This window comes from Homo sapiens, chromosome 12, assembly GCF_000001405.40.
Source record: "Homo sapiens chromosome 12, GRCh38.p14 Primary Assembly".
Lineage (NCBI taxonomy): Eukaryota > Metazoa > Chordata > Mammalia > Primates > Hominidae > Homo > Homo sapiens.
In genome coordinates, this window is record NC_000012.12 from 130,631,160 (window position 1) to 130,655,832 (window position 24,673).

At 48.7% G+C, this 24,673-nt stretch overlaps 1 protein-coding gene across 34 annotated transcripts in view, besides 1 other annotated feature; it reads right to left on the minus strand.

The window, feature by feature from the left end:
* The window catches only part of RIMBP2 (RIMS binding protein 2), a 320,167-nt gene that overhangs the window by 235,027 nt on the left and 60,467 nt on the right, over positions 1 to 24,673 (minus strand). For 8 of the 34 annotated variants that reach the window (NM_001393618.1, NM_001393615.1, NM_001351228.2 and 5 more), the window contains exon 1: positions 2,646 to 2,761. The exons of 19 other annotated variants lie outside the window; for them this stretch is intronic. Coding sequence is in view for 7 of the 15 variants with exons in the window: in XM_047428629.1 (XP_047284585.1) it covers positions 4,100 to 4,111 (12 nt within the window). In the remaining 8 variants the exon portion in view is untranslated. Of the gene's footprint in view, positions 1 to 2,645; positions 2,762 to 4,099; positions 4,462 to 24,673 lie in introns of those variants that run through there. 7 more of the 34 variants (XM_047428629.1, XM_011538106.4, XM_017019106.2 and 4 more) reach the window with 1 other exon arrangement.
* Positions 2,746 to 3,263: an enhancer, noted in NCBI's record as "OCT4-NANOG-H3K4me1 hESC enhancer chr12:131118450-131118967 (GRCh37/hg19 assembly coordinates)". NCBI's record gives its function as "activates a minimal SCP1, AML or CMV promoter by ChIP-STARR-seq in naive H9 embryonic stem cells {active_cell/tissue: H9 hESC(naive)}" and the evidence as "EXISTENCE:reporter gene assay evidence [ECO:0000049][PMID:30033119]".

Here is a 24,673-nt window from a genome sequence, read left to right on the forward strand (position 1 = left end):
GGGAGAAGAGTTTTTAATATGTGGATTGCAAATGGCACAATTGAAAATCAGGCTATTAATAACTCCAGGAAAACTAAAAAGCCATACAACGAAAGGGATGTAACCACAGTCACTAATTGGTGCTACCATTAGCAATATACACACAATAACAACGTAACAACTAAGTATTCACTTAAATAAAGTAGCAATTTAACTATGTGTATAGACTGGGGGAGGGAAACTAAGATAACTAAATCTTCATTTACCACAGAGCTTCTTAAACTCAGCAGTGTGACATTTGGGGCCAGGTAATTCTTCCTTGTGCAGGCTGTCCTGTGCACTATGGGGTGTTTAGCAGTATCCCTGCCAGTAGCAACCAGAGGCCAGTAGCACACACGTTTCCCTGAATCATGACAAACAGAAGTGTCTCCCAACGCCAACCCTGAAAGGCAAAACTGCCCGCTCAAAGCCCTTTGAGAACCACTTATCTACCACCCCAGAAAGTGCTGCTAATATTTTTTTACTTTGGAAAACTGGTAAGTCAAAAAAAAAAAAAGTTACAATATTGGCAATTTTTACTATTATTTAAGAGCTTCAAGAAGAAACCACTAAAAGTATTGAAAGTGGGCTCAAGGGACTGGGTATGGAAAGAAGAGACAGCACGAGATTGTTTCCATATACCTTTATACACTTAATTTTTCAAATTACATGCATGCACTTTCAAGTTATAAACTACTGTTGCAGCACAAAAGAAAGCATGCTTGTGTCTGGCTTGGGAACTCACTGAAGTCTTCCTCCACAAATCTTTCTCAAAGGAAACCTTATACTATCACATTAACTTACTTGATATGCCCATGTCTTTTCTTTAAACTACATGAAACAAATAGTTATCACATAAAAACATTTTTAAAAATCTATACATCTCCTAAAATCAACTGATGTAACACCACTGGTCCACCTACTTCATCGTGGGACGATTTCAGCAAAAAATAAAAGAGACGTTTCTAACCAGATCAGATGGGCTGGATGCAAACAAATCAAGGCAGACACCTCCAGTGAGATCCCTGCAGGCAGAGGCACATCGTCGTCATTGCTGACTACCTCCTTTTAGTGCAAACCCCCAAATCCTTACCTCCACCAACACACATCCTATTCTGCTCCTCTAAGGAATCATGTTCTCTCAGAGAAATCATTAAGAATAACATGAAAAAACGAGATTACAGGAAGTCACGATAATCTGCAAGTGATGTACATTTTTTTTTTCTAGTTCTATTACAGAAGAAAAAATTGGGGGGTGGGGCAATGATTCCTGGCTTCTCAATGCATTTAGTGCAGGTCGGTGCCCTCCGTACAGAACAAGTAAACCTACCGCTTTCTCCCCTCATCTTCCTGGGCTGCCGGGATGTGCTTTTTCAACCACCCTGTTCTCTTTGCTCTGGGGCCCCTCCTGTCCTCGGCTCGGCCTACTCCATCGTTAAAGAGGCTAAGGGGCTTTAATATCTCACCAGGCTGACTGGAGAGCTTGCTAATGATGATAGGGCATAAAAAACTACTCTGTATGGTTACATGTGAAGTATGTTAATTATTAATTCAAAAGTGGTCCAGCAAGTTAAAGGATTTGTGGGGCTGTGCATAACCAACCCTAATGAGCCCATGTAAAATTGAGTACAGAGCTTGAAGACCACTTTACACAAAGTTTTAATTAACAGAGCCATTTAGGCAGAGAGGAAAACAAAAACAATGATTCATTGATGTACGTTTTACTGCTGCCGTGGAACACCAGGACACATAAAACACCGGCCACCTGCTCTGCCCCATAAACATCTTCCTCACGGAGCACAGGATCATGCCTTCTGCCAGGAGGGAGGAGCCAGTTCTTGCTATTTAATGTTAGGCATAGACGCAGTTCATTTCATCTGTTTACTACAAGGTCCTCGCTACATAGAATAAAAAAAGAACCCCCCAGGTCTTAAGCCAGAGTCAGCACCCTCACGTTTTGCTGTATATTTCAACTAACAGCGGACCTACATGAAATTAAAATGCTACAATTATATCTATTGTCTGAGTATATTCATTATCTAAAGGGTGTTCAACTTTGTCTCATCATTTGAGCTCAAAGAATTGAAAATGTTGCACAAAAATTGAATACAGAGTAGGAATTTCCACTTGAGATTTCACAACTTTGAATGGATGCTGTTTCTAATGCCAGTTCTGTGATGCTTAAACTAGCAAAACCAAACTGTTCCCACCAGAACGGTGAATTCCTGAGGGAGGAAAGTTGGAGGGACAAATAACCGGACACCCAGCCCTTGCCTTTCCTCCTGAACCACATCCTATCCCGAGTGTCCCGCCCACAGCCCACCGAAACTGATCCTCGAGACCAAGGGTCTTTTCTAGCCTGATACAAGGCCTGAGGACAGATTTGGAACAGCATACCCACAGGGTAGTAACAGTGATTTGAGCCACAATTAAGACCCAAAGGTTTAGAAACCAGGGGTTATCACAACCCCTTGAGGCTGGAAATGCCTCTTCCCACCTCTCAGCCCAGAAAACAACCCTTGCTCTACAGCCCACAGCCTAGAAAGAGATTGATTTCCCGTCTGTGTCTAAGCTGTATCTCATTAACCCACGGGGCTCTTTCCCCAGCCCCAGAAGCAGGTACTTACAAGGCACCGGAGATTAGTGGTCTAGTGGACCAGACAGACTGGTCCAGGCCTCCCCGCCGGCCCCCCTTCCGGTCCCCGTGGACGCCAGCCTCTCTGAGCCTCGGATGTTTGTGCTCGGCACCAGGCTGGAAGGCTATTTACTTATTCATGGGCTGCCCAAGCCGGCCAGGAACTGCTTTGTGTCAGCTGAATAGGATGGTAATTCAATCTGCGAATGGGAGCCGTTGGCACACAGCACGCCTGTCATAATGAGTCACAGGGGGGACAAGCACCCAGCGTTCAGAGCCACTGGGAACCTGTCCTTCGACAACGAGCTGTGTCACAAGACACCACCTTCCTTTCCTCAGTCGCTCTCTTCCCCCCGAATCTCCCCACCCCTGATCAACTCTCCTGGAGATGCATGACACAGAATTACATATCCTTGGGAGCGGAGACGGGGAGGCGGGTAATGCCACCTGTTCTCTTGAGCTGTATACATGGAAATAGAGGAGACAGAAGTGTTGGGAAGGAATCTGAAGCAAGAAACGCGGAGTGAGGAAGCGGGAGGAAAAGCTCACCTGCACCAGGAGTCCTCAGGTTTAATGTTTTCTATGCCCTATCTCACACACTCCTCATCAAAGCCCTTGGAGCAAATGAACAATTAGCCTCAGGCAGGTTAACAATCACACCCGAAGTCTCTGACTGGGGGTCTTTGAGCCCTGGTCCATCTCACGTCACAAGCCACATGCTGCCTTTGGTCCAGCACGTCACATCATCCAATGCAAAGAAACCTGCCTCTCTTTAAAGATGACTTTTTTTTTTTTTCCAGACAAGGTCTCATTCTGCCACCTAGGCTGAAGTGCAGTGGCGTGATCTCAGCTCACTGCAGCCTCGACCTCCCAGCTTCAAGCTATCCTTCCACCTCAGCCTCCCAAGTAGCTGAGGCTACCAGTGCTTACCACCATGCCTGGCTAATGAAAAAATATATATATTTTTGTAGAGATGGGATCTCACTATGTCACCCAGGCTCATCTCAAACACCTGAGCTCAAGTAATCCACCTGCTGCAGCTTCCCAAAGTGCTGGGATTACAGGCCTGAGCCACCACACCCGGCTGACTCCACCTGTAAACAAATCATTTTCTGTTTCCAGTAACAACAGAGTCTCCAGCACATTAATTAAAGTCACAGAATCCAGAGCACACAAAAAAAAGGGAGCTGAGATTCAGAGATGAGAAGACCCTAGCCAGGTGACACAGCCCAGCTCCCCCTGCCCCAGGGGACCAGGCAGGATGGAGCCCATCCCCTGCCGTTCTCCTTCCAGGGTTTCTTGAGAGTTAAGGACATGCCTTTCATCAGATTGCTTTGTTCCAGTCTCAGGAAGCTCAGCAGTTCATTTTCTCCACATCCACTGCATGGGCTGCTGGTTACTGCTGTAGAAAAACCACAAGCCAGGCGGGCCAGCGCCTGGACCTACCTCTGTCCCCATTAGACTGTCACTCCAGGAGGGGAGGGACCCTGCTTATCGTATTCTAAGCACCCAGGAGAGCATCCGGCCAAAGGAGCTACTGAAACACTTGTTGAGATGCCAAATGAATGAAGTCTTCAACCTCTCTGTTGCCTTCCCATATGTAGCAGTGAGGATAGGCTGGACTCTGCTGTGGTTACAAATAATTCTGATTACAGTGGCTTAAGATCACCTGGGTGCATTGGTGGCACCTGCCCTGTGTCTGCAGCTCTGCTCCAAATCATCCCCACCTGGGACCCAAGCTGACAGAATGGCCACCACCCAGGTCACTGCACATCAGCAGGAAGGAGAAGCTCGAGGGGATACTGCTGGCATTGAGAGCTGCACCCCAAGACACTGGCAATTTCTGTGCTCTGGACACCAATTCGTGACTCACAATGCTATCTCATTGTGGCACCTGCTACTGTTTCCATGCATCATGCACAGGCCCAGATGGAAAGATGGGGCCCAGGGGTGCAGTCCCACCTAACATCTGAAAGGGACCTGATGAATGCCCACACATCTTATCGTCCTCCCAACCCTTCCCCACTCTACATTCCAGCTTCTGACTTCACTCCCCTGCATTCTCCTACTGGGGCCCCCTACATCCACTCTACCACCCCCTACTGTCTTCTCCACACAGCCAACTTGCAAAACGGAAATCTATGTCCCTCCCCTGCCAAAGCCCCTCTGCCTTCCAGCCTCCGAGTGAAGGTTACCATGCCACTCGTGACCTGGTTCCGCTAAGCCCTCAAGGTTCATCTCTTGCCACCACCCTCCATTTCCACGCTTTATGATGAACTACTCCTTCCAAGATCTCAAACGGAGTCTTTGGCCTCTCTCGGCCAGACCTCACACTCGCTATCCCCCAATGAGGCTGGTCTATACTCCTTGTCCCGACATGGCTGGCTCTATTGTCTTTCAGGCAGATGTCACTTCGCCCAGGAAGCCCTCCCTCTAAGACCTTTCATCTGTGTTCTCATGTCATCTTTCCTCCCTACTGGCACTCTTGAGCACCACACAGATTCCTAATTTCCTAACTACCTATTGGTGGTCCTCACAGAACTAGAACCACGTGGAGATTGGCGGTTGTATGTATCTTATTTACCAGCTGGTTCTGTGCAGGTGCGAGGACCCAGCTTTGTTTTTTTACCAGCTGAATCACCTTGAACACTCATTGGACCTCACTAAACCTCAATTGACTCAGCTGTGAAGTAGGTATAATAGTATCCCCTAATCCAAGGGCTTCTTAAATGGACTAGATGAGGTAATAACCACATAGCTCTTAGCCCAGTGTTGAGTATGTGCCAGATACTCGCACACTATTGAAGAAATGAATGGATGGGGAAATGAGTGAACACTAAACCATCAGCCAGCCCCATGACATGAGCCCAGCAAGGTAGGAATGTCAGCCTGGCGTTACAGAGAGTTTGGGTGTGGAGTCAGCACTGCAGAGAACAGCGCTGAGCTATGAGGAGAAACCAAGTCCTGACAGCATTACTGCAGCCCCTGGATCAAGCTGTAACTGAAGCTGGATACCTACAGCTGGGTTTTTCAGTTGTGTTTCAACACATTCCCTTTTAGGACTAAGTCAATATAATTAGGTTTTCTGCCACTTTTAGTAAAAACCAAACCCAAACCAATACACACCTAGTAATGCCTTGGGGATGGTGTCTTGTCGCCTTGTTCTGGGTACAGAAGAGCAGAGAATCATGAAGGTGTGTACGCTATGCCTATTCAGTACCATCTCTTTGGCTCCAGGTTGCATTTGAATGTTAAAATGGTAAAGTGTTCATAGCAGTATATATAGAAAATTCCACACTCCACAGCCATCGAATCTTTGCACTGAGATGTTCTGCGGAGCTGCATCCTGTTTTCCTGCCTCTGCTGCCTCATCCTGTCCTCAGATCACCTCTCAGCAGAGGCTAAAGCCCCACCGCATCTCCCCATCCCATCACCATTTAAAATGCTTATCACCAGTTGCCCCAGTGGAATGGGAGGCCTCTGGGAGTAGAGTCCTTGTTGGTCTCACAGCCCATGGGGCCCCTCCCAGCCTAGAGCAGTGCCTGGAACGCAGGAAACACTGGATTGACACATTTCGAGTGAATGAATGAATGGATGCGTGCCTGAGACAGCACATCGGACTGGAGGATCCACAATGCTTTAGTGTAATTAGTCATGCAATTAGTGAGTTCAAGAAGCAGCCCCCATTAAAATGAAAGCAATGTAAACCAACCCTGGGAACATATAATAAGAGTAATGTGATTAGAACCAAAGCTTCAGGCCACAGTTAAGGAATCCTAAAATTAATGAAGATAAAGAATTGATCAATGTATCCCTGCACTGTCTGCCGGGAGCAAAGGGATTTGTGGGACTTGGTTAGAACCAACCCTGATGCCTAACAGAATGAGGTAGAGCTGCGATGTCCTGGTGTAAATGTCCTTCTGCTAACAATGTCCTCTTTCCTATTTGTTGTTTATCCAGAAACCTTCAGGCCTGGCTTGGGGTACCTTCCTGTACAGCTCATGGGAAAGGAGAGGAGGGATGAGCAGATTCCCTGGGTCCTGCCGGCTTTACTGACTTTGGTTATTAAGAAGATAATATTCTGGTTGGTAAATAAGTTATTTGGGGACTTTGGCATTGACTGTGTAGACAGTTGGGAAAATCAGCCTTCTTGGAATGCAAACTTAATGACCATGGGTTCTAATGTCCTCTGAACCCAGCCCCAGCTGCTTTGGTATAGTGACTTCACCAACATCTAGTTGCTAGAATGAGATAGTATTGGATGAATAACTTGTGAGTCACGAAATTGGTGTCCAGAGCACAGAAATCGCCAATGTCTTGCCTTCTTGATTTCTCCAGGGTCTCCCCGGATGGACACACATTAAAGCCACCCTGTTTGGGAATAGACACCGATTAAGTTCAGCTTAGAATTACTCCCATAAGCAACCAAGATGTCTTTCATAGGCGAATGAATGATATATCCAGATACTGGAATAACTCAACACTTTTAAAAAATAAATTATCAAGCCACAAAGAGATATAGAGGAGCCTTCATTGCACATCACTAAGTGAAAGAAGCCAGTCTGAAAAGGATATAAACTATATGATTCCAACTCTATCGGGGTCCCGAAGCCCCGAGCTGCGGGCTAGTAAAGGTAGCCTGTTAGGAACGAGGCCGCACAGCAGGAGGTGAATGGTGGGTGAACAAGTGACTGCCTGAGCTCCGCCTCCTGTCAGATCATCAGGCATTAGGTTCTCATAGGAATGTGAACCCTACTGTGAACTATGCATGCGAGGGATCTGGGCTGCATGCTCCTTATGAGTATCTAATGCCTGATGATCTGAGGTTTCATCCTGAAACCTTTCCCCCTCCCCATCTGTTGTCTTCTATGAAACTGATCCCTGGTGCCAAAAAGGTTGGAGACCACTGAACTATAGTACATTGCGGAAAAGGCAAAACTATGGAGATCGTTAAAAAAAAAAAAATTAGTGGTTGCCAGGGGTGAGCAGCAGGGAGGGAATAACAGGTAGAACAGGAGGGATTTTTAGGGCAGTGGAACTACAGGGTCTGATGCTATGACAGAGACACATTTGTCAAAAGCCATAGAATGCACAAGACAAGGAGTAAACCCTAATGTAAACTATGGACTCTAGTTAATAATACAATATCAATATTGGATCATCAACTGAAACAAATGTACCATAGTAATAATAGGGGAAACTGTGGGGTCAGGAAGAGGGGGTGCTTGGGAACTCCCTGTACTCTTTGATCAGTTTTTCTGTAAACCTAAAACTGCTCTTTTAATAAAAGCCTGGCCGGGCACGGTGGCTCACGCCTGTAATCCCAGCACTTTGGGAGGCCGAGGCGGGTAGATCACCTGAGGTCAGGAGTTCGAGACCAGCCTAGGCAACATAGTGAAACCCCCATCTCTACTAAAAATACAAAAATTAGCCGGGCATGGTGGCAGGCACCTGTAATCTCAGCTACTCAGGAGGCTGAGGCAGGAGAATCGTTTGAACCCGGGAGGTAGAAGTTGCATTGAGCCAAGATCACGCCATTGCATCCCAGCCTGGGCAATAAAACTCCATCTTAAAAAAAAAAAAAATCTATTGGCCAGGTGCAGTGGCTCACACCTGTAATCCCAGCACTCTGGGAGGCCAAGGCACTCCAGACTAATAGAACAAGATCCTGCCTCAAAAAAAAAAAAAAAAAAAAAAAAAACCAACTAAGTATCACATTTTTTTCAAAACTGACCAAAAAAGTACCTCACCCCTTTAATTGCTGTTCTTTTGTACACAGCAAGTGTCTACACCATTCCGGGTCAGTGGATTTCCTCCTGGTCAGCAGGCTGGGCTCATTCAGATGAGTCTGGGCAGCTCGGGGGCTGGGACTACCGTGTCCTCTGCTATACTCCCAGTCCCCGAATGGCACCTGGCTCATGGGACCCGCACCCTAACTATTTTGTTGAATGAAGTATTTTATTTCTTGTATCTCCACTTAGCTACAAATGACAGATCATTAACAAGTGAAAATTGAAAGCCGAGATGAAAACCTCCCCCAGGAAACGTAGTCAGGCTGCTCCATTCTCCAGAGATGTAAATCAATAAAATAATTCCAGAGAGCTTAAGACGCTTGGATCACTCCATAAATTCCTGACATATGAGGGAGCCCTCAACTTCCTGGCGTTTCTGTTCCAGGAAGTCTAACCCTGTGGGGACCTGGCTAGCTTTCTAGTCAGTTCTAGTTGGTTTGAATTATTGCAGGCTGCACAGGTCATGCCTGTACACTCCGCCCCAGAACAATGGGCATCTCACGATGTTATTCTCGATCACAGACATTTCAGCCACCAAGGAAGATGGGGAACAAACACACCGCCTAGAACCAACCTTGCTGCTCAAGGAAACAGCTCAGAGAACAGGACACTCCCCGGGGACAATGTGTACCTGAGCTCAGCGATGCTTTGCATTTAATTAAACACACTTACCGCTCAAGAGCAATTTCATCAGCTTAATCATCTTACACGAAAATTAATTTTGCTCCCACTAAAGGCCCTGGAACAATTATGTATGGAACCTTCCATCACAGATTAAGCTTATCTTCAGCCCAATTATTTCTTTATTTTCAAACCGAAGTTCAGTGTATCGTGCTATTTTCTAAAATAAAGTTATGTTCAGAATTTCATTTTCCGTTTTAATGCTAGTTATTAACACTATTCGTGTCTGTAACCACAGCCAACATTTTGAGAGCTTCCTCTGTACTAAGAAAGGTTCAAAGCATCTTACTCAAAGTGTTCACTGAAGCTTCGAAAGAGCCCGTGAGGTAGGCACTGTGATGACCTGCGCTTGTTACGAGGGAGACACCACGGCCGGCCCAGAGGGCTTCAGGCACCTCCTGGTCCTACAGCTTGAAAGACAAGGCGTGGGGATTTGGACGTCGGCATCTGGCCCCAGGGACCGCACAGCCACTGGGCTTCACCTCTGCCCCCTCCTGTGCCACCCCCTAAGTTAGAGGATCAACACAGACCAAGGGGAGAGAGGCAGCTGCTCTGGGCCACCAAGGTTTTCAAAGGAAAAATTATTCTCTTTTCAGATGTGAAAGAAAAGCCTAAGTGGGCCTTTGGAAACATTAAATTGATAACTTTAATACTAGGAAACTACTGGGAACGCCATCAACCAAAGAAAGGGCAGACATGGCCCTATTAAAGCTAACTAATGTCGGCGTCACAGCCGTCCTGGCACTCAGCGCTGTTTCTGTGGTTGGGCAGGAGAAACCGCAGTCTTGCCATCATTTTAACTGATTCTAACACGTGCCTTGGAATGCCAGCACAGTGCTCTACTCGCAGCCACTGGCAGGCATGCAGTCATAATTACGAGATCACAGAAGGGTCAGATGGTCCCAAGTCCTCTTCTGTTTGCCATTCCAAGGACAGAAAGCTAAATCGTGAGCCCTGACCGCACTGCAAGGGCCAGGTCTCCCAAGACTGCAGGAAGCCTTCATCTCATGGTGACTGCCGGACACTCGGCCCGGCATCACGGGCTGGATTTAGGATGGTGACTGCCGGACACTCGGCCCGGCTTCACGGGCTGGATTTAGGATGGTGACTGCCGGACACTCGGCCCGGCATCACGGGCTGGATTTAGGATGGTGACTGCCGGACACTCGGCCCGGCATCACGGGCTGGATTTAGGATGGTGACTGCCGGACACTCGGCCCGGCATCACGGGCTGGATTTAGGATGGTGACTGCAGCGCTTTGCCTTTCTTCTGCATCATAACTGCCGCCCTCAATTCTTCTCTGCTAATCAGCCTCATGGGCAGAGAGCCCCTCATTAGTGCCTGGGAATTAACTGCCGTGCAAAACAGAAAAACAAACTGCGCCTGTGTTGTTCCTGGAGTCCTGGGGAAGGAAGAGGTGGCCGTGCTGAGAGCACTCCGGGAAAATGAGTCAGCCTCAGGGCACCTCATGCCCCTTATGCTTGGCTGGAGAGTAAACCAGGAGGACAGAGTGGTCAACACAGCAAGGGGTGCCGAGCGTGGCTGCACCGGGCTGGGCCCCTCAAAGCCATAGGTGACAATGACAGCTCGCCAGGGCCATCCGAGGATGGGGTCATACCTCAGTGCTGTACGTCATTAATCCCCACCCTGACTCTATAGATAAGCCACTACCCCCATTGTACAGATGAGAAAACTGAGGCAACCAGAGGTCAAATGCTGTGTCTAAGGTCACACAGTTTGTAAATAGCAGAGCCCAGAGTCAAAGCCACGTCTCTGGTGCTAAAGCCATGTTTCTAACCACTGTACCCCCAGCTTCCTGCCACTAGAGCCTGAAAGATCTTTGCATTGGTACTCAGGGCTCAGGGGACGGGATGTGGGAATCAAAGGCAGACCAGAAAGAGAAGATGGCTTCCCCTCCAGGACACCCCAAATGATGCCCCACACTCCAGGGAGAGGCCCTGGCTCCGGCTGGGACTCTGGGTTTAGTTTAGTTTTGTTTTGTTTTGTGTTTTTTTGAGATGGAGTTTTGCTCTCATCACCCAGGCTAGAGTGCAATGGCGCGATCTCAGCTCACTGTAACCTCCACCTCCCGGGTTCAAGGAATTCTCCTGCCTCAGCCTCCTGAGTAGCTGGGACTACAAGTGCCCGCTACCACGCCCAGCTAATTTTTGTATTTTTAGTGGAGACGGGGTGTCGCCATGTTGGCCAGGCTGGTCTTGAACTCCTGACCTCAGGTGATCTGCCCGCTTTGGCCTCCTAAAGTGTTGGGATTACAGGCGTGAGCCACCATGCCCAGCCTGGGTTTAGTCTTATAAGTCAGACTATCCGACTAGGAATAATAACCTTTATTACTTCGACAACCCACATCGACTAACATGCATCTATCCTCTTCCAAGCACCAGGCACTGTCCACGATGTTTTGCTTAAAGTCACTCATTTAATCCTGATAGCAACAACCTTATAAGTCAAGTCCCATCATTATCTCCACCTTGGGGATAAGAAAACTAGGCTACACATTGAAGCTCACACCAGCAGGTCACAGGCACCTTGATCTGAACCAGGCTGGCTCTGAACGGGTCACGTGCCCTCTCGGCCAGGCCACACTGCCGCTCACTGAGAGAGGGGCTAGAAGGAGGGAACCTGCTTCCCTCCGTGGAGCGCCATCAATTCTTTCCCCAGAATGGCATGAATTTATATCCCCACCTGCTCTGGAGTTTGAGTCTCGGACTGGACACATTCCAAATCCCTGCCTCTCTAAACGGCGATGGTTCTCCAACAGCTGCCTCAGGGGTCCTGGCTCAGCTGGCTGTGCTTACACGAAGTCCCCGCAACAGCCACCTGCCAACCTGTGCCAACCTTTCATTTTAAGAGGAGAGCTAAGCCCCGGTGAGAGTTCCCCCCTGCACAGTGACATGTAGGCCTCCTGCCTGTGGAACGCAGGGAGCTCACACTCGCCCTGGCCCCGGGTGCACGGGCCACAGCAGCAGCTCCCCACTCCCATTGGCAGGTCCTGTGATGTGTGTGGAGCATATGTCTCCTGTGTCAGGGAGAGGTGAGCCCCACAAGCGACCAGCAGGAGAGGATGAAGGGCAGGAAGGCGGAGCCCAAACCTCCTGAGGACCAGGACCATGGAAGCACAGAGATGAAAGCCGGTCCCTACAGAAATCACTGGGCCATGGACAGGCACCCCATGGGACTGGGGACAGGAGAGCTGTTGCCTACAGAAATCACTAGGTCAGGGGCAGGTGCCCCATGGAACTGGGGAGAAGAAAGAAATCACTAGGTCAGGGACAGGTCCCCCACTTTACAGATAAGAAAACAAATTCTATACATGCGGAGGGAAAGCAAGCCCACCCAGGCTGCACTCTGCGGAGGCGGGGACCACTGCTCCATGTCCTTCCATTCACATTTATTGAACACCTGCGTGGGACATGTGTCAGTGAATAACACGGGGCAAGGGTAAGGTCCTGCCCCAAGGAGCAGACATGCCCACAGAGCAACAGAGGCAAGAAACACGCAAGCAGACAACAGCCAGTTTCAGCTCATGAGAGTGAAAGAGAACAAGGAAACTGGAGAGCAAGCAGTGGGGTCTGCGAGGGGCAGCGATTTTAGACAGTGTGGTCAAGGTGGGCCCCCCAAGAAGGTGTCCTCTGAGCAAAGCCTAGAGCAGTGAAGCGGAGGTGGCCATGCTGAGACAGAGACAGAGAGAGATCCCAGGCGGCTGGCACAGCACATGCAAAGGCCCTGAGGCAGGAGCTGGAGCCCAGGCAGCCACCCTCCCAAAACAGTGCTCACCAACAGTCCTGATGGACATGAAGGATTCCGCTCTCACTGGCAGAAAAGCTATACTGTGGATTCAGGGGCCTGTAGCCTCTCCCATTGAGACGAAGGAAAGGAAGTGGAGAGGCAGACTCCCTAACAAGGCCTCGAACTCACTCACACACACACACTTGCTACAAGACTGGAAGGCAGAGAGGGTGCTGTGAGGAAACACACCACGTCCTGCCCCGTGGTTTTAGACAAATTAGCTTTCATGAGCTGCTCAGCTCTTAATCCATTAGGGCAGACACGTGTCACCTTGGTTAAGAGCACCGTAAGATCCAGCCCTGAGACGCCTGCTGCATTTAAAATACAATCGCACATCGATCTGGACTCTACCTGTGGCCGAATTCATTATCCAGTCTGGGAAGATTAACCATCACAAAGAATCTATATAAATGGGATGGGAAGATTAAAAGTATCCTTACTTCGAGGAGCCGTATCATCAAGTGCAAATTAATTTGTGCAAGGTAGCACACCTGCGTCTAAGCCCAGTGTCTGCGTATAAAGCCCAGGAATTACGGGAGACATTTTGAAGCCAAGTGATCCTAATCACCGTCAGACTTCAGGGGCAGCAAGGCTAGCGAGTGACGTCGGAAAAGCCACAGGACAGAGACCCTGAGCCCTCAGGAGCATATGGCCACAACCACTGCGTTACTTAGGTATGTCTGAAATCATCCTCCGGCCTGAGAACGTGGCACAGAGTCACTGGGCAAAGCACCCAACGGCTCTGGCTGACTTCACATGCTGACTGACTTCAAGGGCTGTGGCCCACTGGGTTTCCCCACACAGGCCCCTTAAGCAGCACCTGCCAGCGGCAATGACCAAGGACATTCTCCCAGTTGGGTCCGGGAGCCAGCGCCTAGTCTCTCAAACTGTGAAATACTCAGGAACACTGTGAACCCGTTGTTAAGTCACAGGTAGTTTGAAATCAGTTGTGGTTGGAGTGTTTACACCACAGAAATAGGCAAAGACTACAAATCAGAACTTTTTTTTTTTTTTTTGAGACAGTCTCACTCTGTTGCCCAGACTGGAGTGCAGTGGCGCAATCTTGGCTCACTGCAGCCTCCGTCCACCTCCCAGGTTCAAGAGAGTCTCCCGCCTCAGGTCCCCGAGTAGCTGGGACTACGGTGTGTCCACCACGCCTGGCAAATTTTTGTATTTTTAATAGAGACGGGTTTCACCATGCTGGCCAGGCTGCTCTCTACAAATCACAGCTTTTACCAGCACACCGCTCCCCCAAAACCAACTTCTATTATCCAGAGGAGAAAATAAACCAGAATTGAATTTTGTATGCTACAGACATTGGAGTTACTCCCTCCAGGCCCCTGAAGTTCACTGCTCTTCCCCAGCACTGGCTGGATGTGATATCGGGTTAACCAGCCAGCACCTTCCACCCCTACAGTCAGGACACGGGATGGGCAGAGAACTCAAGCCAGTTCAAAGTGAACTTTAGGATTGGAGAAAGTCATGCCCTCTCCCACTGGAGCAAGCACATAGCCTGGGGGACAAGGTCAAAGCCATTTTGTGGCTACAAGAGGAGTCGGCGTTAGCCCAAAGAGCAGAGAGAAGGATGAGAAGAAACAAAGTCCTCGCTGATGACATTAAGTCTCTGGATCAAACCGTGCCTGATCTCTTCCTTATCGCTGGACTTTCAGGTTATTTAAACTTACACATGCTTTTTATATTTAAGCCACTTGGAGATGCACTTTCTTTGAATAGAAAGATTTCTTACCAACAGAAATCTGAAACCAACTCTTTACAGTTTAGTCTTCCTTGCCTAACTAAATGGATTCATTAAAGCTCTTTTCAGTTACTAAGTCACTGAATAGCTTTGTTTGCACTCCTATGCTTTTAAAGAAGGAAAGAAAAAACCCAGGGAACAACACTTTGCGTTTCACCCAAGCATTGAAATCTGTGGTGCGGCAGCCAGTTCCCTCTCCACCTCCCTCACCACCTGCCTCTCCACCTCCCTCACCACTTCCCTCTCCACCTCCCTCTCCACCTCCCTCACCACCTGCCTCTCCACCTCCCTCACCACCTGCCTCTCCACCTCCCTCACCACCTGCCTCTCCACCTCCCTCACCACTTCCCTCTCCACCTCCCTCTCCACCTCCCTCACCACCTGCCTCTCCACCTCCCTCACCACTTCCCTCTCCACCTGCCTCACCACCTCCCTCACCACCTGCCTCTCCACCTCCCTCACCACTTCCCTCTCCACCTGCCTCACCACCTCCCTCACCACCTCCCTCACCACCTCCCTCACCACCTCCCTCACCACCTCCCTCACCACCTGCCTCTCCACCTCCCTCACCACTTCCCTCTCCACCTCCCTTGCCACCTCCCTCGCCACCTCCCTCGCTACCTCCCTCACTACTGCAAAAGGGATTGTTTCCTCCAGCTCCTAATGGCCCTCTGCTCCCATTTCCTCCTCGAGGTCCTGTTTTCAGATGCTTTCTTGCCCCAATCCAAGGTCGCAAGCACACGCATCTCCACAAGAAGAATGACAACCAATCTTAGAGGTATAGGGAGCTTCAAATTTACCCCATTGTCAGGAAAAGAGAAGCCCTATCTAAAACTTAAAATTGTACAAAGCTAGAGTTGGAAAAAAATCGTTGATGTCATCTCCTACAGGGCAAGAGAAAGCCGCCTCCAGGGGCGAATGATTTATTGCAGGTCGCACAACTCACACACAGAGTCCCTGAACCAGGGCTGAGAACCCAGCAGTTCAGACTCTGCAGCCACGACACACAGGCGCCATGGGCATGACAGTGGGTGAGGACGCCCAGCAGCCCAGGAGCCACATTGGTGTTTGCCAGCTGCACCTGCTCCCCATCTCCTGGCCTAGAGGCCCAGCCTTAGCCTACGCAATTCTCACGGGACAGACATATGCATGTGAGGCAGAGTGGGGACCCATCTTAAGGGGCCTGTGGGTCCCCTCCCCTCAGCATGGAAATAAAGGAAAATCTTGGGTTCCTTCACGGGGAATTCCAGGCACCTAATTGGCCCTGGGAAGTAAATAAGCAACTTGAGAAGGAAAAAGCTAATAGTATTCAAGACCAGCTTAGCCAACATGGTGAAACCCTGCCCCTAATAAAAATACAAAAATTAGCGAGGCGTGATGGTGCACACCTGTAATCCTAGCTACTCGGGACGCTGAGGCAGGAGACTCTCTTGAACCCGGGGGGTGGAGGTTGCAGTGAGCTGAGATCGCACCACTGCACTCCAGCCTAGGTGACAAAGCAAGACTGTCTCAAAAAAACCAACAACAAAAAAGAAGGTAATAGCAGCTTAAAACAACAGCCAAGGGAGTTAGAGTCAGGAGATGTTTGCTTCCCTATAGAAGCTAAAGCATCATCACATCTGTCTCTGGGTTGTTTTTCAGAAACCCAGACCCCCACCAAAATGGATTCACCTGCACCTAGACCTCAGCTACGGAGAGCGGAGGACTGAGCTCTGAGCACCAGTCTTTGTTCTAAATTTCTTCCTGAGGGGCCTGGAGGAGGTCACACCCATGAGCCAGAGCTAACATTCTTTTCTGCTGACCCTAAATTTTTACACAAAGTTTCTCCTCCTAACCAACTACAAATCAGAAAATCTTTGCATATACCTACAATTTGTAAGCCCCTGCATCCAGAGATCCCACCCTTTAAATCAAACCAATGCATAACCTCCATGTATTGGTGTGTGACTTTGCTGGTAACCTCTACCTCTCTGCCTTTAAAGACCCTCCCCTTTAAGCCATCTGGCAGTCCGGGTCTTCCACATAAGGTTCTCCCCGCTAGACGCCCTGCACTAAATGCCTCTCTTTCTCATGCTGCAAACCTCGGTGTGGCTGTTTGGCCCGACTGCAGTGGGTGAGTTGGACCCCAGCTCCGTTGGATAACACATGCACACACGTGTGCACACACATGTGAACACACGTGTGTACACACCCGCCTCACGTGGTACAGAAAGCCAAAGGGCATGTCAGGAGTCACGCGCTGATCATCACCGAGCAGATACATCCCTAGATTATGAGTTCCTAAACTTTTACACATCTTTCTTTTCTAAATTTTCAACAGTAAATACTAAAGATGAAAAAATGTTTCTCACAGCTGTCAAGGGAAAAGGGGAAATCCCATTTCGTGCGCCACTAATGGAAGAGGAAACAGACACGAACTCTCACTTCTCAAATGCCCTAAAAACATGGTTTTTTGACCCAGAAATTCCACCTTCATAAATTTATTTAAAGGATCATAATGGACAGGACTGAATCATCTTATCTTTTAGAATTACACACATAAGGTATTCATTGTAAAAAAAATTGAAAAGCATAAAGGAGAAAATAAAAACTTCGTAATATCCCCTTAAAATACATTCCATCTGTATGCGTCTTCTAAATCCCCCAGCAAAATCAAATTCAAGCTATATACATCTGATGTTATCCATGATGATTTTAATGAGGTATGTGTTTTTCTAAATTATTTTCTGTGCTTTAAAATTTTTTCTACAATAAATATATGTTACTCCATTAATCATAATCAAGTTAAAAACTATCTAAAATTAGTATCTTTTTTTTTTTTTTTGAGACGGAGTTTCGCTCTTGTTGCCCAGGCTGGAGTGCAGTGGCGCGATCTCGGCTCACCGCAACCTCCGCCTCCCGGGTTCAAGCGATTCTCGCTCCTCAGCCTCCCGAGTAGCTGGGATTACAGGCCTGCACCACCACGCCCAGCTAATTTTGTATTTTTAGTAGGGACAGGGTTTCTCCATGTTGGTCAGGCTGGTCTCGAACTCCTGACCTCAGGTGATCTGCCCGCCTCGGCCTCCCAAAGTGCTGGGATTCCAGGCGTGAGCCGCCGAGAAACGGATCGCACATGGTAATTTTTGCAGCACCACGGGTTAAATACTGTGGGCCCTGAACACCATTTTCATGTGGATTCCATGATCCTCAATGACCTCCTGACTCAGAGGCACGGGAGCAGATCTCCCGGCTTTTCCTGCCCTTCGTGGCGGCCGATAGGCTCAGTCGGAGGTGGGTATGGAGGTGGGTACGGAGGTGGCAGGAGGAAGCTATGGACAAGAGAGCAACCGGAGGGACAGAACCGTGCCAAGCGCGTGTGTGACTGCAAAGCCAGCCTCTAGGCCAAGTAAGGCGCTGGAATGTGGGGCTTGCTGCGACGTACGTTTCTCTCCTCCTCAGCGGAGAGATGAGTGCTCCCGGCCGGAGGCCGCTCCGCTCCATGCAGTGACTTAGAGACCCAGGCCCCTCCCTCCGTGGCCGCCCAACCCCTGGGGCCTCATGGCCTCCGCATCCAGCCAGTGGGGTACTGGGAAGGGCGGCGCCTTCCCCCGACTCAGGGCTCCACTCTCCCATTGGCCAGAACAAGCCACGTGGCCACCCAGACCCAAGGGCTGCTGGGAAATGTGCCCCTCCGCTGAGAAGTGGCTTCCCACAGCCGTTCTGTGCAATGGGGAAAAATCCGGGGTGAACGGCTAGCAGACTCTTCCTTGGAGAGACAGCGCGGGCCACATAGGAGACCCCCAAACAATGGATACCCCATGCTAGGAGGACCAACTCACTCACCCTGGTAGGCCTGGATTTTCCCACTTTCAGCCCTGGAGATCCTCTCAGCCCTGAGAAAATCAGAGATGTGGTCTCCCTGCCCCCTGCTCACAGTTTCACCAAGACAGCACCCGAACAGGGAGGGGTGCCCTGCTACCCCAGCCCCCGAAGAGGACGTGCGGGTGCTGGGAGTACTCTACTCAGTGACCCCAGCACTTCACACTCTGCGGGCCCTGGAGAAGCTGCCCCACCTCCCTTCAACCCATAGGCTCAGGAGACTCCAAAGTCAAGCCTTGTCTGCAGGTCGGAGATTCAACAGGAACAAGCGGTACGAGACTCTCAGAGATGAGGGAGGTGCAGAGTATATTGTTGAAGCTGAAAAAAAAAAACCAAACCTGAGGACCTGCTCCTCCAGTGTGGGGTGAACCCTCGGGGAGACGCAGTGGGGACTCGCAGGCAACCAAGGAGGCAGTCTACACAGAAAATTGCGGCTGCTGCCTTGCCCCCAGCACCAAGGGGGCTTGGTGGGCAGCTTGCAAGCTGTCCAAAGGGTACATTTCTGCCCTTCATGTGCAGCGTGGTCCCTGGGTGCTGACTCGTGCCCACCTTCCCCAGCAGCCAGCTGCCGGGTCCATTCTTAAAAACCTCCAGGGGACATCTGGGCACCCTTCCGAAACGTGCTGCCAGCTCCCAGCCTGGGGCTCTAAATAGAACTGCTCTTAACACCGCATGTGTGCTCTTCCTACTCCAGCCAGCCTTCTGCTCGTTGCTACCACTTTGCTAAATGCAAGCTTCTCACAACACTTGTTTTCTTTATCTGTGGATTCAGCAGGGAAGCCCTGCCATAGGGCGTGACCCAGTCACAGGGGCCTGCCCACCTGGGGGCTCCGTGTCCCCTCCAGCAGCACATGTGAGCGGATGGGTCCCCAGAGCATGCTCCTGTCTTGGCATTTGAAATCCGCCGTGGAAGCCTTCTGAAAATTGTGCTTTCAAATACAAATACTGACCTCAGTCCAAGCCCAGATTTACTCTAATTGTCTGAAGACCCCTTTCCACCAACTCAGTAAACAAGGGAGACTCTGAGTTGTTTTCTTAACCGATCATTGTTTTCTGGGGGGCAAAGTGGAGCGTCGGGGGAGAGATTTTTCCCCTCAAAACAAGCAATTGCTTTTATAATTTAAATTAGGCCTATGCCCTAAAAGAAAATCGCTGGTAATAAATGCAAGCCTGCTGACCTTGGAGGAAAATATCAGAGAGATTTCAAGCAGCATTTTCTTGAACAAAAATTTACACAGCCTTGTTTTTTTTAAAAAAAAAAAAAAAAAAGAAAGAAAAGAAAAGAAACTGCTTTGTAAATGTCACAGGAAGGATGCTTGGCGGAGGCTGAGAAAGCTTCCGAGCCACTTATTTCTGTTGAGAATGAAGAACTACAGCCTGGGTCAGGACTGAGGCTCCACTCCTGGCTTCTTAAAGCATCTCTACCTCCAAGCAAAGCTTCTCAGGGATGCTTTCTGCAAAAGACCAACATCTGGGGTCCCACAAAGCTCAGCACTTTTCAATTTTATTCTGCAGGGCACTCAGGCAGGTGTGAGAGAGATCAGCGGGCCCTGCTGGCGGCCTGAGGAGACCTCAGGGGGCTCTGAAAGACAGGTTCCAAAGCATCCATTGTTAGAGGGGAACGTAAGGACTATGATGACATAGATGGCAGGGCGATGGCGTTGAGGAGGCTGTCAACATCTCGGAGTTCTTCCCATGTGCAAGGCAGGGTGCTGAGCCTGTGATGCGTATGTATGAAGCCGTGTCATGCTCACCACTCCCCTATTGAGCAGGTGAGATGGTCATTCCCACTTTATAGAGGAGAAAACCACGGGCAGCCCTGGAGCCTGCCCACGGCACAGCCGTCCTGGCATGGCGGTCCTCAGGCTAATGGAAAACGCAGCGATGAACCCAGAAGAAAGCAAAACTTCACCTGGGTGGGATCTGGAAACACCCTTCGAGCTGAATCTTTTCATGTCTGTGTGTCTTTTCAAAGAACCAGCCCTTTGTGAGAGTCTTAAGTTAAAGATTTCTAGTGATGCACATTCATGAATTTAACACATTTCACATTATGAATTTGTGCTTGGAATTTAATTATCTGCAGGATTATGTACCAGCTCTACTCTTCGTTGAGAGACTGAACAAGTCCTGTGTCTTAGCAGTTATCATATTATAGCTTTTGGAAAGCTTTTTGATGTTAAAAAAAAAATGTTTAGGAATTAAAAGCATTTTATTTCATAGAAGTTTTAAAAAGCACCAGGCTTTGAGGTTGTTTGCTGGTTCTGCTGTTGTCTACTAAATCATTGTGTTCTGCTTTTCTCTTTATTTACTCTTCCCTCCTGCCTCAGCTTTATCTTGTTAGTCTTCTGGTTTCTAGCATTGAATGTTTTGATTAATTTGGGTTTTTTAAATACTCTTCTTCATATAAGAGGATCTGAAGCTATGTATTTTCCTTGGAGTGTAGCTTTGGCATAACCTTATGTATTGGTATATAGCAGGACCCAGGAAACTATGTAGCCTTTAGGCCAAATCTGGCCCACCACCTGTTTTTGTAAATGAAGTTTTGTTGGAACACAGCCACACCACTTGTTTACATAGTATCTATGGCTGCCTTAGTATATGGCAGCAAAGTTTAGTTGTTGCCACAAAGACTTTCTAGCCTGCAAAGCTGAACATGTTTACCATCTGACTTTTTTCCAAAAAAGTTTGCCAACCCTTAGAATGTAAGATCCTTGTCCTTAACTTCTAAATGGCTTGTAGTTTTGTTTCCCTCTTTGGTGCCCTCACTTTTTCATCTGTTACGCTCATTTTTGTTAATATTGTCCAATGGTTAGATTTGCAGAGTGGGGGTTTCTATTATCAATTTCTTAAAGGATTATATTGGGCCGTATCTGCATTCCCTTGAGGATATGGAGCATCTCAGTGGTCTTGCAGGGCTCTTAGGTTTTGCCATATGTATTATATTGTTTTTTCATTGCTATAAAGAAATACCTGAACCTGGGTGATTTATAAAGAAAAGAGTTTTAATTGGCTCATGGTTCTGCAGGGTGTACAGGCAGCATGGTGCCAGCACCTGCTTCTGGTGAGACCTCACAGAACTTACAATTATGGTGGAATACAAAGGGAAGCCAGCACATCACGTGGCAAGAATGGGAGCAAGAGAGCAAGGGGAGAAGTGCCACCCTTTTAAACAATCAGATCTCACGTGAACTAACCAAGTGAGGACTCACAATGGTGCTAAGCCGTTGATGAGGGATCCACCCCCATGATCCAATCACCTCCCACAAGGCCCCTTCCCAACAGTGAGGATCACATTTTGACATGAGATTTGGAGGGGGCCAACATCCCAACCGTATCATTCTGCCCCTGGTCCCCCAAATCTCATGTCCTTCTCATATTGCAAAATACAATCATGCCTTCCCAACAGTCCTCCAAAGTCTTAACTCATTCCAGCATTTACTCAGAAGTCCCACGTCTCAAGTCCCAAGCTCTAAGTCTCATTTGCAGATAAGTTCCTTCTACCTATGAGCCTGTAAAATCACGTCGTTTACTTCCAAGATACAGTGGTGGTCTAGGCGTTGGGTAAAGATTCCCATTCCAAATGTGACAAATTGGCCAAAGAAAGGGGCAACAAGGCCCATACCACTCTGAAACATAGCAGGGCAGTCATTAGATCTTAAATCTCCAAAATAATCCTTGACTCCGTGCCCCACATCCGGGCACACTGGTGCAAGGGGTAGGCTCCTGTGGCTTTGCAGGGTGCAGCTCCCACGGCTGCTCTCACAGGTTAGAGTTAAGTGCCTGTGGCTTTTCCAGGCTCAGAATGCAAGCTGTTGGTGGATCTACCATTCTGGGGCCTGAAGGGTGACCCTCTTCTCACCAACTCCACTGGGCAGTGCCCCAGTGGGGACTCTGTGTGGGAGCTGCAACCCCACAGTTCCCCTCAGCCTGTCCTAGCGGAGCTTTTCTGTGGGGGCTCCACCCCTGTGGCAGGCTTCTAGCTTGGAACCCAGACTTTCCCATAAATCTTCTGAAATCTAGGTGGAAGCCACCAAGCCTCCTTCATGCTTGCATTCTGTGCACCCGCAGGCTTAACAACATGTGGAAGCCCCAAAGGCTAATGGCTTGCACCCTCAGAACTCTGGCCCAAGCTACACCCAGGGTCCTTTGAGCTGAGGCTGGAGTCAGAGTGCCCAGGATGCAGGGAGCAGTGTCCTGAAGCTGTGCAGGGCAGCGGGGCCCTGGACCTGGCCCCTGAAACTATTCTTTCCTCCTAGGCCTCTGGGCTGTGATGGGAGGGGCTGCCTAAAAGATCTCTGAAATGCATTTGAGGCCTGTTTCCTGTTGTCTTGGATATTAGCACTTGGGTCCTTTTTAGTCATGCTAGTTTCTCTAGCAAGTAGTCACTCCACAGCCTGCTTGGATTCCTCTTTTGAAAATGCTTTTTCCTTCTCTGCCACATGGCTAGGTTGTGAATTTCTGAAACTTTTATGCTCTGCTTCCTTTTTAACTATAAGTTCCAACTTTAAGTCATTTCTTTGCTTCTGTATCTGAGCATAGGTTATTAGAAGCAGCCAGGTCCCATCTTGAATGCTTTGCTTCTTAGAAATTTCTTCCACCAGATACCCTAGGTTATCACTCTTTTAAGTTCAAACTTCCATAAAGCCCTAGGACACAGATACAATGCAGCCAGGTTCTTTGCTTAGGCATAATATGGGTGATCTTTACTCCAGTTCCCTTAACTTTCTCATTTCCAGCTGAGACCACATCAGCCTGGACTTCACTGTCCAAATCACTATTGGCATTTTGGTCACAACCATTTAACCACTCTCCAAGGAGTTCCAAACAATTCCTCACCTTCCTGTCTTCTTCTGAGCTCTCCAAACTCTTCCACCCTCTGCCTATTACCCAGTCCCAAAGCTGCTTCCACACTTTCAGGTATCTTTATAGCAATGCCCCACTCCTCTGTACCAATTTTCCATGTTAGGCCATTTTTGTATTGCTATAAAGAAATACTGAGGCTGGGTAATTTATAAGGAAAACAGACTTGATTGGCTCATGGTTCTGCAGGCTGTACAGAAAACAGGGTGCAGGCATCTGCTCAGCTTCTAGTGAGGCCTCAGGAAGCTTCCAATCATGGTGGAAGACAAAGAGGAGCCAGCATGTCACACAGTGACAGCAACAGCAAGAAAGCCAGGGAGGAGGTGCCACACACTTTTCAACAACCAGAATTCACATGAACTAACTGAGCAAGAACTCACTTATCACCCAGGGATAGTGCCCAGCCATTCATGAGGGACCTGCTCCCGTGACCCAAACACCTCCCACCAGGTCCTACCTCCAGCACTGGGATCACATTTCACATGAGATTTGGGGGAGACACACATCCAAACCATATCAACATAACCCAGCAATCTGGATGCAGAAAACACACAAATGACACACTAGAGGTCTCTACAGGGAGAGAATGGGGTGCTGGACAGAGGACAAAGAGGAGTGTGCCCTAGGCGGGGCAGCAAAGGCCTCTCCAGCGTGTAACATCGCCCCACCCTGCCAGCCAGCATTACTTCCCTGTTTTATTTTCTTCATTGCTCTTGCTGCTGTCTGAAATTACCTCGTTATATACCAACTGTCTGCCACTCTGTGAGAATGCAAACTCTGTAAGGACCTTATTTATCTTGCCTGATGCATTGTAACTATTCAAATATCTGTGGGAGAGAGGAAGACAGGACCTGAGGAGGACACATGAGAGGGAGGAAAAGACCAAGGAGGGGTGGGCAGGGCGGAGAGTCAGAGAAACACCAGCAGTGGAGGGAGGCTCTGGGGCCATAGAACAGGCCCCAAACCATTGATTTCCACTTTAGGGAATTTATTGAGATTTTCTTTCTGAACTAAAAATATGATCTATGTTTGTAAATGTTGCATAGACACAGAAAAAAATGTGTGGTTACTACACAGAGCGAACAGAGTTCAATTATTCAAACATTCACACACAGGCACACACATGTATATACAGGCAAACACAGATACATATGTGCACACACACACACCATCAACTTCAGCTCTCCCTCAGCTCCTCGAATTTGCCCTTGTTTGGACACCATCTTGAAGCCAGCCAGAATGAAAAGGGAGGGACGTTGGCTTCA